Source organism: Homo sapiens, chromosome 2 (assembly GCF_000001405.40).
Source record: "Homo sapiens chromosome 2, GRCh38.p14 Primary Assembly".
NCBI classification, from domain to species: Eukaryota; Metazoa; Chordata; class Mammalia; order Primates; family Hominidae; genus Homo; species Homo sapiens.
Genome location: NC_000002.12, coordinates 183,018 through 197,218, shown reverse-complemented (window position 1 = coordinate 197,218; position 14,201 = coordinate 183,018). Strand labels below are relative to the sequence as shown.

At 42.3% G+C, this 14,201-nt stretch overlaps 1 long non-coding RNA gene across 1 annotated transcript in view; it reads left to right on the top strand.

Moving 5' to 3' along the window:
• The first annotated feature begins 6,674 nt into the window (after positions 1 to 6,674).
• Positions 6,675 to 14,201, top strand: part of LOC105373324 (uncharacterized) — a 29,821-nt gene continuing 22,294 nt past the window's right edge. The window contains exon 1 of the long non-coding RNA XR_922689.3: positions 6,675 to 6,710. This is a non-coding gene — a long non-coding RNA (uncharacterized LOC105373324). The remainder of the gene's footprint in view (positions 6,711 to 14,201) is intronic.

Here is a 14,201-nt window from a genome sequence, read left to right as displayed (position 1 = left end):
TAATTATAACGTAGATCCTGGAAAAGACACCTCCCAACGAGGTGACATTTGTGACCCCTTGGATCAAGGTCAGCCCTTACAGTATGCTATTTAAGTACTGAAACACAGTTTCCTGCAAAACCTTCCAAGTCAATATACACATCTGTTGCTTCAAATCATTTAAACAGCCCTGTAAATGTAGCCAAATGTCCTGTTTTAGTGGGCTCTGGCTTGCCCCCAGCAGGGGTGGCTGCAGTAGTTAGTTGAGGTCCACTTGGTCCAGGTTTTTAATTTGTAGCAGTATTGGAAGGGTTATTTAATATAGGAGTTTTAAAGCTATAAAATATATAGCCAAGAAAGACTGAGTTTTGATGTATGCATACAATCCCAAACTCCTTAATACTAAAAATCAAGAGACTAAAACCCTTAAGCTTCTGTTCCCAGGAGATTATAATGGTTTCACAAAAGCTCCCATGTTTCTGTTTAGACCCTGAGAAGGGCTCTTTCCACCAGAGAAGACAGAGGTCCTTGGCCCCACCTCTGAGGTGGGCACAGCCTCACCCAGCCCAGATGGCTCTCACGGCCAGGGCCAAGACACGTCCTGGCTGAAGGCCACCGTACACAGCAGCAGGGCCCCTGAAATATGAACTCAACAAAATTGTAGCATAGAGAACTCCGTAACAGTTAAACTCTGGACACCAAATGAAATCCACCAGGGACAAAAATCTGTTTCAGTAACTACTGCCAACATCGGACTTTCCCCTGCCCTGTGATGGGGAAAAGAGGGCAAGTTAAGAGCCACCCTCCCACAACTTTGAGCTCCAGCAGCCACTGAAAAGAACCACCTTCCCCACATGACACAGACAAGACTCACCAGTGACAGGGCCAGAATCAGACCCTCTGCATTCCCATTTTTGTCCCACAGATGTGTAGCTGAACTGCTTTGACTCCACTGATCTATCTTAAAAAAATACTTGTTAGCCGAACTTCGACTCAGCTTCTCCTCTCGGCCAAGCCCACCCATGAATGCTGCGATGGGGACCCCACCCTCCCCTCCATCTCTTCCCAGTGGGCTGACCCATTTCCTGCCCACTGTCCACTGCGCCACGGGCCCCTCCATGCCTCACCCAGGTGTTCTAGGCTTGGTTACTCCCTCCTCCTAAAACAAAAGTGCTTTTCTGCCTGAGATGCTTGAAGTTCTTTGGGGTCAGAGCATTCACCCTGTGTCATGAAGTCCCCTCCCTCTCTCAAAATGAGAACTTCAGGTAAACTCTCTGCTTAAGCGAGTCTGGATTTGTGTTTCACTGAAACACAGAGAAGACAGAGAGGACACTACACTGGCTGAGAACTACCATACGTCCTTAATAACAATGAACAATGAACAAGAGAGAGGGCCCCACGTTCTGGCAACATGGCGAACCTGTGAACTAGGGAAGCCCTCCCAGCACAGAAAGTGCCAGGAAAATAAAAACAAACAGAACATTTTAAAATTTATGACTGTGTAAGTAGAAAAATAAGGTGAGTCTTAGAGGTATGAATCTGTAAGAACAGGCAGCCTTGATTGGCTGAGGCTGTGATTTTCCCAGAAGGAAAATGTGGCCGAGGCATGGGGGTTCATAGGTTTCACCTGAGGGCGGTGGAAATGGCCTTTGTAAGTTTGAGTCCTGCAAAGGGGACAATTACAGCATGAGAAAAGGGGACAGACCCTCAGGATAATCACTCTGTTTGAATTCTGGTGGAGGGGAAATGAGACCAAAAATATCACTCCAGAGTCTTCCTCAACTCAGTGCTTTGATTTGGGGTTCAATTCATGCTGTCTCTGTGGCCCAGCAAGCCCTAATTCTAGAATGGAAAGATTGGTACCAGGTAGAAGCAAAAACACTCCTCTCTGGGGCAAAACACTTTAAAGAAGGCCTGGGCCACGTTCCAGGCCTTTAGGAGACTCTCCTAGGAAAGTGGGATCTGATTTGCTCCAGTCGTGGAGCCTGGGAAGGTGGTTCTGGGGGAAGGTCGTGCCTTTCTGACCAGCCTCTGAGAGCTGAGTCAAGAAGTTAGAGGAGAGCTGGTGCCTGGTTGGGCCTGGCCAGTAACTCCTGCAGGAACTGCAGTGAGGGCCGACCCTGAGCCCAGAAAGGTTCCCGATGATTAACAGGAGGCTCTGAAAAGTGCATCATTTATTCTTAGCATTGTCAAATTGCTTGACCCAAGTCAGAGGTGATTTTTTGGTTTATTATTTGCAAAGCATCGTGCCTTTACCCTGCAGGGGCCATTTCCCCTCACAAGGAATGCAGCAAGGAGCTTGGAAGCAGACGGCTGTGGGGAAGGACCAGCATGGGTGGGGGTGCTTTGAGAGGAGAGACAGAGGGCCTTTGCCCTTTCACCGGAGAGACATGGTGCCACTAAGAGTTGCGAAGGGTAAAGAATGTGTGAAGACACAGATACCTTGGGGGACAGTTTTTCCTCTAACTCAGGAATGAGGATGGTTCAACTCACACTATTTCAAGCCTTCCAAGTAAACAGTAGTTAGTAAAAACACAATACCTGTCTCTAATATTACTTGCCTAAATATATGGACATATGAAAATGTATCTCAAAAAAATAATCTAAAGAGAAGGAGAAAACTATAATAAAAGGTGTTTATTGCAGTGATAAAAATATCAAACAACAGTAGTAAATGTAAGTCTTGCAGTCAAGCTTTAGGGTATTGTTCAATAATCAAAATAAAATGTTGATTATGTAGCAACACATTAACATGCTTATAATAGAAAGTGAAATAAATTACATACCCGAATATATTCCTAAACTATGATCAGAATGAAGGAAAACATGTCACACATATGATCACAAACTGAACGCGTGTGTGGGAAAATACAGGTACATGGTCTTAGTGTAGAAAGAATGTTAACATTGATTTTTTTAAAAAAGAATTCTGAGGTTTGGGTTCGGTTTTCATTATTGTTTCTGCACTAGATGATTTGTAAAGTTCTAAACATGTAGCCTCTAGACTGATTAAAGGAGCGTGTGACGTGCAGTGCAATATCACAGAGACAGGCAATAACAAACAATAACAATACAGGCTCCTGGGACATTTACAGTCACACATTTGCCCATGTCGACAACAGAAGGTTCTTCCTTTTCAAGCTCCCTAACCCGGGAAGACACTGCTCCTGCTGTAGTGTGACGGGGACACTTTTGGCAGATGTGGTCTCCAGCGTGCTTGGTTTGGTGGTCCAGGAACCGCCGGCTCCATCTTTGCCCAGCTCTCCCTTCCCTGTGTACCCAGAGCCAAACGAAACACCCACAGGGGCAATGGTTAAGAATTAATTTCTATGTGTTTTGTTATCCGTTAAACACAGGTTGTGAGCTAGCAAGAAACAAGATACTTTTGGAGGCTTAGTGACTTTTTTTTTTTTTATAAAAAGCGACCTTCTCCTCAGGCTTATGGTATGTTCTTAGTTATGGGAAAATGTCTATACAGGCCACAGAAGGGCCAAGACCATGTAAAACTGGAAAGTTACAAAAATTTTCTAAAATAACCCTCTCTTTGCCTCCCTCAAAGCTAGAAAACGTTGGGAGCCAGATGTTTTCAGAAGGGAAATAGTGTCCCCGGGAGGAGCTGTAATTTTGAGCAGCAGAACTTTGCCTCTGTGGCCTGTTTATAGTTGCCTTGGGCTCCGGGTGAGACGCAGCTGGACGGGGCTTCTGGAAGCCTCCAGGCATTAGTATGCACGGTTAAGGATTTAAATTCTTCACAGGCCTCTGCTGGCCCACAAAGGACTGGCAAAAATGCAGGGATGACTAACGGGTTTCAGGGCCGAAAACAGACTGGAGGGTGCCCCACACAGCGCTGCCGGATGAGGTGCAAGTTAGTTTCTGTGTCTGGCTGACAAGTCGGACATGGCCTGCGGCTGCCTCCACAAGCAAGAAAACCTTTACAGCTAATTTTCGTGGACCGAGAACTGGAAAACCCCAAGCTTCACCACGGAATGAACAGACGTCGGCTGCAACATACTCTGTGGTAAAAGTGTTAACATCACGGCATCCTCCCTGGTTTTGCACCATTAGGTTAAAATGGAGAACTTGCTAAGGTGTTCAAAGGGCTAAAGACCCTTGGTGTGGTAACATGTAAAAAGCGCAGTTTTCAGATTTGGGAAGACTTGACTGCCCCATTGACAGCAGCCAGGTGGCCTCCAGCAAATCTCGTTCTATAATAGATCACCGGGTTTCTTCACAGGGAAGGAAGGTGCATTAAAAAATTTAAAGGGAGGTGTTAGATATGTGTTCTTCTTTCTGTGTTAGTCCCTGGCCAAGAAAACATGCCGAATTTTCTTTATTTTTCTTCCATCATAGTTACAACAACACAAATTCTCTCCAGCTTAGTTCTCTAATATCTTCACCAATCACAGATCTGGCCACTACGCTCCATCCTCAAGCCCACCCAACTTTCCCCTGGGTAGCCTGGCAGAGTACACAGCTGTCTGCCCTCATCGAGTGACTTTGCCTCTATCAGTTACGGCAGCGTAGCAGTGGCTGATCAGGGTATGGGATGGGGATTGGGGAGGAGGCCGATAGAAATGGGTGCAGTAGGCCAGGCGCAGTGGCTCATAACTGTAATCCCAGCACTTTGGGAGGCCAAGAGGGGTGGATCACGAGGTCAGGAGTTTGAGACCAGCCTGACCAACATGGTAAAACCCTGTCTCTACTAAAAACACAAAAATTAGCCAGGTGTGGTGGTGTGTGCCTGTAGTCCCAGCTACTTGGGAGGCTGAGGCAGGAGAATTGCTTGAACCCAGGAGACTCTGTCTTAAAAAAAAAAAAAAAAAGAAAGAAAGAAAGAAAAAGAAACAAGTGCAGTGGAACAGAAAGACGAGTGGCTGTCACCGGGCAATGCAGGTAGCAACTTGAAACTGATGAGGGCAGTCCTGGGACGGAAACCAGAGGACCCTCAGTTTCGCTATTATTTTTTTAACCTGATGTCATAAAGCTTCTACTATTCTGGGTAATTATGTCCCAAAGTTGGCAAGCATACATGTGCTTTTAAATTTTTTATTTTATTTTTAATGGTAGTCACAATCATATAACATGAACTTTATCATTTTAAACTTTTCAAGTGAACAGGTTGGCACTGTCAAGTATATTTACACTGTTGTGCAACAGGTACCTAGACTTTTTCATTTTGCAGAAGTGAAACTTTATGCCCACTAAGAACTAATTCCTTTTCTTTTCCCAACCCCCCAGCCCTTCACCTCTCTATTTTCTGTTTCTACAACTTTGACTACTTGAGATACCTCATATTAGTGGAATCATATAGCACCTTCTGTTATTTTGATAATGGCCATACTGAGAGGTGACAACATGCTAGCAGCCCTTGCTGGCTCTCAGTGCCTCCTCGGCCTGGGCCTCCACTCTGGCCGCGATTGAGGAGCCCTTCAGCCCGCTGCTGCACTGTGGAAGCCCCTCTCTGGGCTGGCAGAGGCCAGAGCCGGCTCCCTCTGCTTGCCTTGAGGTGTGGAGGGAGAGGCGCAGGCGGGAACCAGGGCTGTGCACAGTGCTGGTGGGAGGTGGGCACAGGCTCGGCGGGCCCCACACTGGGAGTGGCCAGCCAGCACCGCCAGCCCGGGCAGTGAGGGGCTTAGCATCTGGGCCTGCAGCTGCAGAGGGTGCACTGGGTCCCCCAGCACTGCCGGCCCTCCCGCACCACGCTCAAATTCTTGCGGGTCTCAGCCACCTCCCTGCGGGGCAGGGCTCTAGAACTGTGGTCTGCCATGCCTGACACCCCCCGCCCCACCGTGGGCTCCCGCGCTGCCGAAGCCTCCCCAACGGGCACCGCCCCCTGCTCCGTGGCGCCTGCTCTCATCAACCGCCCAAAGGCTGAGGAGTGCTGGGCGCATGGCTGGGAACTGGCGGGCAGCTCTGCCAGCGGCCCAGGCACGGGAACCACCAGGCGAAACCAGCTGGGTTCCTGAGTCCGGTGGGGACTTGGAGAACTTTTATGTCTAGGTAGAGGATTGTAAATGCACCAATCAGCACTCTGTGTCTAGCTCGAGTTTCTGGATGCACCAATTAGCACTCTGTATCTAGCTAATCTGGTGAGGACTTGGAGAACTTTTATGTCTAGCTAGAGGATCGTAAATGCACCAATTAGCACTCTGAGTCTAGCTCAAGGTTTGTAAACGCACCAATCAGCACCCTGTCAAGACGGACCAATTAGCTCTCTGTAAAATGGACCAATCAGCTTTCTGTAAAATGGACCAATCAGCAGGATGTGGGTGGGGCCAGATAAGGGAATAAAAGCAGGCTGCCCCAGCTAGTAGAGGTAACCTGCTGCAGTCCTTTCCTGGAAGTTTTGTTCTTTGCAATAAATCTTGCTGCTGCTCACTTTTTAGGTGTGCTTTACCTTTACGGGCTGTAACACTCACTGTGAAGGTCTGCAGCTTCAAACCACAAACCCACCCCCGCTGGGAGGAATGAACAACTTCAGACGGGCAGAGCAAACAACTCCAGAGGGGCCGCCTTAAGAGCTGTAACACTTAATGGGAAGGTCTGCAGCTTTACTCCTGAAGCTAGCAAGACCACAAACCCACCAGAAGGAAGAACCTTTGAACAGGTCCGAACATCAGAAGGAACAAGCTCTGGATATGCTGTCTTTAAGAACTGTAACACTCACGGCGAGGGTCTGCAACTTCATTCTTGAAGTCGGTGAGACCAAGAACCCACCATTTCCAGACACGGTACTAATGAGTGTGACGTAGTATCTCATTGTGGTTGTGATTTGCATTTCTCTAATAATTAGTGATGTTGAGCATCTTTTAATGTGGTTTGTTGGCCAGTTTTAGGTCATCTTTGGAAAATTGTCTATTCAAGCTGTTTGCCCATTTTCTAATCAGGTTGCTATTTTGTGATTGTTGACACATGTGTGCTTTGAAATGACACAAAGAACATAAGTTAATGGAGAAATCTGGTGATCTTTTTCCCCTTAAGTGATTGATACATACGCCTAAAATCTGGGGGCTGAAGTTAGGGAGTATGTACTAGTAGAAAAGAATAAAAGGGGTATTTTGAAGTTTTATTTAATATGGGATTTCTCAACCTCAGTACAACCAACATTTGAAAGAGAACAGTTCTTTGTGGTGGGGGCTTTTCTGTGTGCTGAGAGGTGTCTGTGAGATTACAAATGGCAGTCCAGCCACCAGATGCCCCAGCTCTGGTCATTGCCGCATGTTCTAAGATAGGCAGAATTGCCTGTGGTGGAAAACCACTGACTTTACGGTTTTGTGCAAGGACCAGGAGTAGTTGTGTCACCAAAGTCTTGGTCTTGTTATTCTGGATGTTATCCAGCACTGTCAGGCTTCTCCTTTACCACCCAAACAATACTGCACAATAGAGCGAAGGTGATCTTGTGTGCTAAATCGCCTTCTGAAGATTCGCTGTTGGTTAAATTTCTGGGATACAAATGGCTTTAGGGGAAAATGTTGATATTTTAGATGACTTTAAATGTTATTTCTGCTGTAAAAATCTTATCAAGACGTTATTCAAAGCCTACCCACATGCAGATACAATTTTTTTCACAAAACAACTAGCTTGATATTATTTTGATTCTATTTCACATGTGTGCTGTACTCTAAGAATATAAAAATAAAATATCTCTCTCTAGACCATTTATAAATACCCTTTAAAAAACGAACACTAGGTAGTTGCTTTAGAATTTTGGCATGAACACATATTCTTTAAAAATGACAACAAAAACTCTCTTTTCAATTTTTCTCTGGTGCTTACTTTAGCAAATTGTCTATAGTTTACCAAATACTTTTTAACACAACTTCTTCTTGTCTTAATTATTAAAGAAAATATCAGATAAGCCATTGTCACTTTTCCTACTAGATAGTGGAGTGTTATGTATTATTGTATATTCTTAGTATATATATGTGTCTATCATTCTTTGACAGGCTGATTTGGAAATATATCATAGTATAAAGAAAAACATGATGTTTCCTAAAGTCTTTTTACAAATTAAGGTGATTACAATTATATTGTGCAATACATTTTATATATTACTTTTAAAATTTTATCTTTTTCCTGTTTAAAAAATTATCCATAAACATAATTTTAACTATTGCATGATTTTCCGTTTTCCTCTGTTTGCTAAACCATTTCTTGGTTTTGTATATATGGATTATTTGAAATTTTCACCCTTATAAACCTGTTTGTGCTTCAGTTTTCTTGTAGCACTTAAGGTGTCCAGACAGATTTCTAAAATAATAAATCAAAAGCCATATTTTAAAGCTTTTTATATATATTACCAAATTGTTTCTCTAATAAGTTATACAAATTTGTTCACCAGTAGAAATAAACATTCCCAATGTGACGTGTTTCCAAAACATCACAAAGAGGAAAGCTGTCTTTGGAATTCTATAGATAGGGGTAAAAAGATGAACACATTATGGCTCATAACAATGGTCTGTTCAACAAAGAAGCCATTGAACCAGGACTATTTTAGATTTTCCAAACTAAAACTAATAACTCAGTTTATAACATAATACTGCCTAATGCTTATGTCTTCTATGATTTTTCTTTATTTATGTCAATTGGGTTTCTTTCTCTTTCTCTTTGTTTCACATGTTGCCCAGGCTAGTCTCAAACTCATGGGCTCAAGCAATCCGCCTGCCTCTGCCTCTCTCAAAATGCTGGGATTACAGACGTGAGCCACCATGCCTGGCCAGGCTTCTTTTTTAGTAGATATTGTTACCCTGGATGAGATGATGGCAGTGTTTTCAACATCCTATAACTTTGATAAGTTGACCAACATGATTCCATGCACACATCTAAAGAGGAAATAAAAGCTTGTAGGAGTTGGGTCAGGGTGGTAGAATAAATTATAGGAAGAAATTATAGGAAAAGATGCAAACCTTCTTGGAAGGCCAGGAGGTTTTGCAAAAGCTTTGAAAGATAATTTGGCTGAAGGCAGCCAAGTTCTCTTATCCAGAGGCTGAGAACAAAACGTAGATAAGTAAGTGTAGGGGAATTAATCTAGATAAGTTAGTTTACTTAGGCCTCAGAACCTGGCCTTTAATCATCTGCACCCAGGACTGCTCTCTCTGAGGGCATTGAGGGTGGGGTGCAGCAACCACGTTAATTACCCACAAGTTGTGTTGACTCAAAGCCTTTGTCATTAAATCTGTACTAAATAAATGCCCACAGGGCCAGCTTGTCAGCTCTGCAGCTGCTGTGACTCCTTATGGCACCCCCTTGGTGTCTGTGAGTGGCCTGGTCCCCTAGCCATGTGACCAGACTAAAAAACCTGTGTCTGTGGACATTTTTTCATCCGTCACTCTGCCAGAGTCTGTGGGTCAGACCTGGCAAAAACTACTTGTTTTTGTAGTTTTGTTTGTTCATACATATTTTCTGATCTCCATTTTTGCCATTTTTAACTCATTCCTTCTTAAACTGATCTTTTTGCTCAGGCTTATGGGTAATTTTTCATTTTGAGGTAGGTTGAAGGGTTGTAAGAATAGTGTGAATGTCTCCCACTGCCCTTCACCTTTGCACAGCAGTTGTTTACATTTTGACCTGTTTGCCTCCTCAGTCCATCTCTCTTCGTGTCTTTTCGTACATGTGCATATTATTTTTTCTGACTATTTGAGAGTCAGTTGGAGCCATCAGGCCACTTTACCCTTAGGTACTTAACTGGATGTTTCTTAAAAGTTCAGGATGGAGAAATGTTTTTGTTTTTGTTTTTGTTTTTATCTTTATCAAATACTGTATAACAAATTATCCTAAACTTAGTGAATTAAAACAACAAACATCTCTGTGCTTTAGGAATCTGGCCATGACATGTAGCTGGGTGCTTCTGCCTCAAGATTTTGTGCAAATTTGCAATCAAATCATCTGCTAGGACTGTGGCCTCATCTAAAGACTGAGGAAGGAACTGCTTTCGGGTTCACCTACATGGCTGTTGGCAGGATTCAGCCACACATACACCATCACCGTGGGGCCTGTCCTCCCGGCTGTTCACAGAGACCCTTCTCAGCTCCTGGCCACACAGGAGCCCCCACAGGGCAGCTCACAACACACAGCTGCCTCCATTTCAATGGGCAAGGAAGAGAACCACAGAGCACAAGATGGAACCCAGAGACTTTTGTAACCTCACCTTGGAAGAAACATAATCACTTTTGTCATATTGTATTTATTAGAAGTAAGTCACTAGCTCAACCCACCCTCAGGGAAGAAGTTTCCATGAGGGCATGGTTACTTACCATAAGAAAGAGTCAATCAACTCTGCTCCCGATCTCTGCAAAGCTTCCAATAAAAGTTAAACAACTAGTTTTGGCTAGTGCATATCCACCCAAACTGTTTTTATTATGTGAGCTTTATGTTACAAAAAGCAACCAGAACAAAAACTAATAATAATTTTAAATATTTATGATAGAGACACATCTCTATCAATGAATTATTTAACTGTAACATTAATCTCCCTTAGAATAGCCCACATTCAGGTTCACGGAGGAAGGGGAATACAAATCATACTCATCACAGTTTCTCTTTGTAACTGAGCCCAGGTTTCGCTGCTTGCCACTGAAAAACCAAGCTCAAGAGATGAGAGTTAATGGGAGGAAAAGCAGGTTTATTCAAAAGCTGGCAACCTGAGAACATTGTGAACTAGTGTTGCAGAGACCATCTTGAGTTTTTCAGGCTGGCTGGAGGGTTTTTATGGGAGGGGGATATGGAGAAGCTAAACACAGGGGTTGACTATGTATGTCAATATGTTTGGTCTCAGTGACTGTCTTGAGTGATGGCCATCTGGTGGTCTGGTGGGCGTCAGCCTGATTCCAACAGGAATACAGATTAACTGCTTAGAATTCTTCCCAGGACGGGATGTTCTGCAACCTTGATTCCATGCTTAGTTTTTCAAGGACAGTTCCTGGAGTTCTTTAGGCGAAGCACATGAGTTAAGCATTATCAAAAGCCCAGCATGGAAAGAAGGGTGAAAAAAAGAAAAAAGAGAATAATTTTTCAAGACAGAGTGGCAGTTTCTGCTACAAATTCCCTACTGTTGATTTTTAATTCAATTTCTATGGAAAATTGGTTGTCAATTACAATCTGGCTACTTCCTGCTGGATGGGGCTGTTGATTGGGAACTTGGGAATGAAACCATTTGACCTGGCTCTGAGCTGACTTTTTTTTTTAGTCTTTAGGAGGACCTGAATTCCCAATTGCAAAGGATGTAGGGACACATCTTAGGATGAGTGGTCTTTTTAGAAGCAGACTCATGAACAGAAACTAGTATAGTGCCTACAGTCTTAACATATTTGGCAATTGGTGAATTTCTTAAAGTTATCAGTTGGTTTTCCCAACAGTGCAGAAACGTGGAATGGCCTACCATATAACATTTTAAAGGGACCCAATTTCTTCCTATTTTGAGGATCTATTTTAATCTATAACAGGGCGACCAGCAACACCTTATCTCAAGTCAAATTGGCTTCTTGACAGATTTTGGTAATGCTTTTTTTTTTAGTATGGTTTATCTTTTAGTTTCTTTCTGTCAATTGTAGTCTCCAAGATGCCAATTTAAAGGCTGCAGGAAGAGGCAAGTCAAAGCTTTCCTGAACATTCCTGCAACCTTCACAGTCTTTTTAAAATCAGGGGCTAGATGAATATTAACTATAAACTATATGGCTCCTATATCAATAAGAAAGGCAATAAGTTAATTACCCACTGTCAGTTGTAATGGGGCTCCTGTGATACATGATGACAGGTTGGCTAAACATATGTTTTTAACGAGTTATAGGAGGAGCTATGAATATTCATGAAGGTGGTCCTGACTCATGTATTGAACAAGTCAGGTAACATATGACTCATGTTCACTTTTGGCATGGAGACTTCACATTTCAATGTACTATAATTAGGCTGTATGTGCTAAAAGGGATTTTCAGGACAAAGAGGCATGCAAGTACACAATCTGTAAACTGACCAGAACCAGTCTATGGTCAGTGGTCTATTATCAGGGGAAAGTTACTAAAATCAGCTCTTGTCCAATCAAAGTTTTAGTTACAGCTGGTAGAACAGGGTCTGGAAATCAGTAAATTAGCATCTGGTGGAGCTGCAAATTGTTTTAATACTGCTTATCTCAAGACAGGTTCTTGTTTAGCTGCTGAAGAAAAAGAAATATATAGTGGCAGTTTAGGGTGACTGTATTAGTCCATTCTCATGCTGCTAATAAAGACATACTTGAGACTGAGTAATTTATAAAAGAAAAAGGTTTAATTGACTCACAGTTTAGCATAGCTGGGGATGCCTCAGGAAACATACAATCATGGCAGAAGGAGAAGCAACACATCCTTCTTCATATGGTGGCAGGAAGGATAAGTGCTGAGCAAAGCAGGGAAAGTCCCTTATAAAACCATCAGATCTCATGAGAACTCTCTATCACAAGAACAGCATGGAAGAAACCACCCCCATCATGCAATTACACCTCCAGCAGGTCCCTCCCACAACATGTGGGGATTGTGGGAACTATAATAGAAGATAAGATTTGAGTGCAGACATAGCCAAACTGAATCAGTGACTTAATCCTTGCCTGGAATGGCCATAAGTCCCATTTACAATTTGGTATCTTATTACCACAAAGAGTTGTTTCTGTCAGTCTTATGATCTAATTTTAACATTAATGTTGTTCAGTTGTGTCTAAACCATAAAAGGAAGAGGATATAATGAGACATGTCTGACCTTTTGTCTCATCATGGCTGGGAACTAAGTTTTTAAGATTCCTTCTCTGGAGTTCTCTTGGCCAAGAGGGGGTTTATTCACTCAGTGAGGGGGCGCTTAGCATTTTGTTTTTTAGTTTGCATTTCCCCTTTTCTGTTAAGATATGCCAGAGGTAGTATAGATAGCCAAACTTTTATTTTGTCCCATGTTGATATGAGGGTGATATGCTACCTGCCCCAGGTCCATCAAGTCCCTCAGTGGGACCCCTTTGGCCAAGGGACTTAGAGTCAAAAGACTTATAGCCAATGAAACATTCTAGCCCAGATGAGAATAAAAAAAAAAAACTCTCAAATAGCTCAAAAAGAAAACAATAAGTTTTCATGCCTCTGGAAAAACAAAACATAAAGAATGGCAACATTTCAAATAAAAAAGGTCATAAGCTCTAGTTTTGAAAAAGACAGAAGAAAGCTCATAGGTAGCTAAACATTTAAACTATCTAGTATCAAGCATTCAGATAGAGGCAAAATTATTAAATGAGTCTTAATATCTTTGAAAACAGGCCACTCTCTGCATCTCATAAAAGCAGTATACTTTTCCCAGGTCTGGAGAAAAAGCTTTGGTTAATGAGTCTGGTGTCAGACACTGGTGTCAACATTTAAGATTTAGCAATAGTTGGTACCTTTTTAGATGAGATAGTTATGCCCAGGAATCAAAACCCTGTTACTTAACAGGACAAGGATTAGTCAATAGCACCTGGTAGGGACCCTTTCAAGGGGCTGGAGGTAATGATACTGGAGTCCATGACCTGACTGGAAGGTGTAAAAAGATTCTACAATGTTGTGGTGATTAATTTTTGTAGCTTTGGTAAGTCCCAAGTAATAAGTCTAGGTCAAATAATTAGTTTAGAATTTTTATTTTGAGGACATTTATCACAGATGTTAAAAGGCTCAAAACATTTTGTCAAAACAGAATAATAGTTATTCTTTTAGCCAAGAGTGATAATCAAAATATTTTAAAAACAAGACAGAAAGTTTCATGGATGTAAAAACTTTAATCCTTTTAAATCTCAATTTTCTTAAGCAATAAAAAAACTTTCAAATATAATATAGAAATTATTTTGATAAAATGTAAAATCTTTATCATTTAGGCCAGTTACCAAAAAGGCAAAGAAAAACCTGCAGTGTGATTGCTTCTCTTTATGGGAAGCCCATTTAGATAACCTGGAAGTCAAATGTGATAAAAAGAGTACTTGAATTTAATAAAACACAGGAAGAGAGTGTTCAAAGTTATGAGTATAGCAGAGAAATACATGACTCTTAGTAACTGTAGGAGGAGTTTTCTGGTTACATGGAACAATTCAGACATATCAAGAAAAGCCAAAAGTACAAAAGCAAGTTATACTGCAGTAAAACATCACTTTCTTAGACATTTAAGATAAAGTATTTCAACATTAGGCCACAACAACAGTCAGAACTGGAGGAAAAGTTACTGGTGCTAATGAAAAAGTTTTAGGAAAGAGT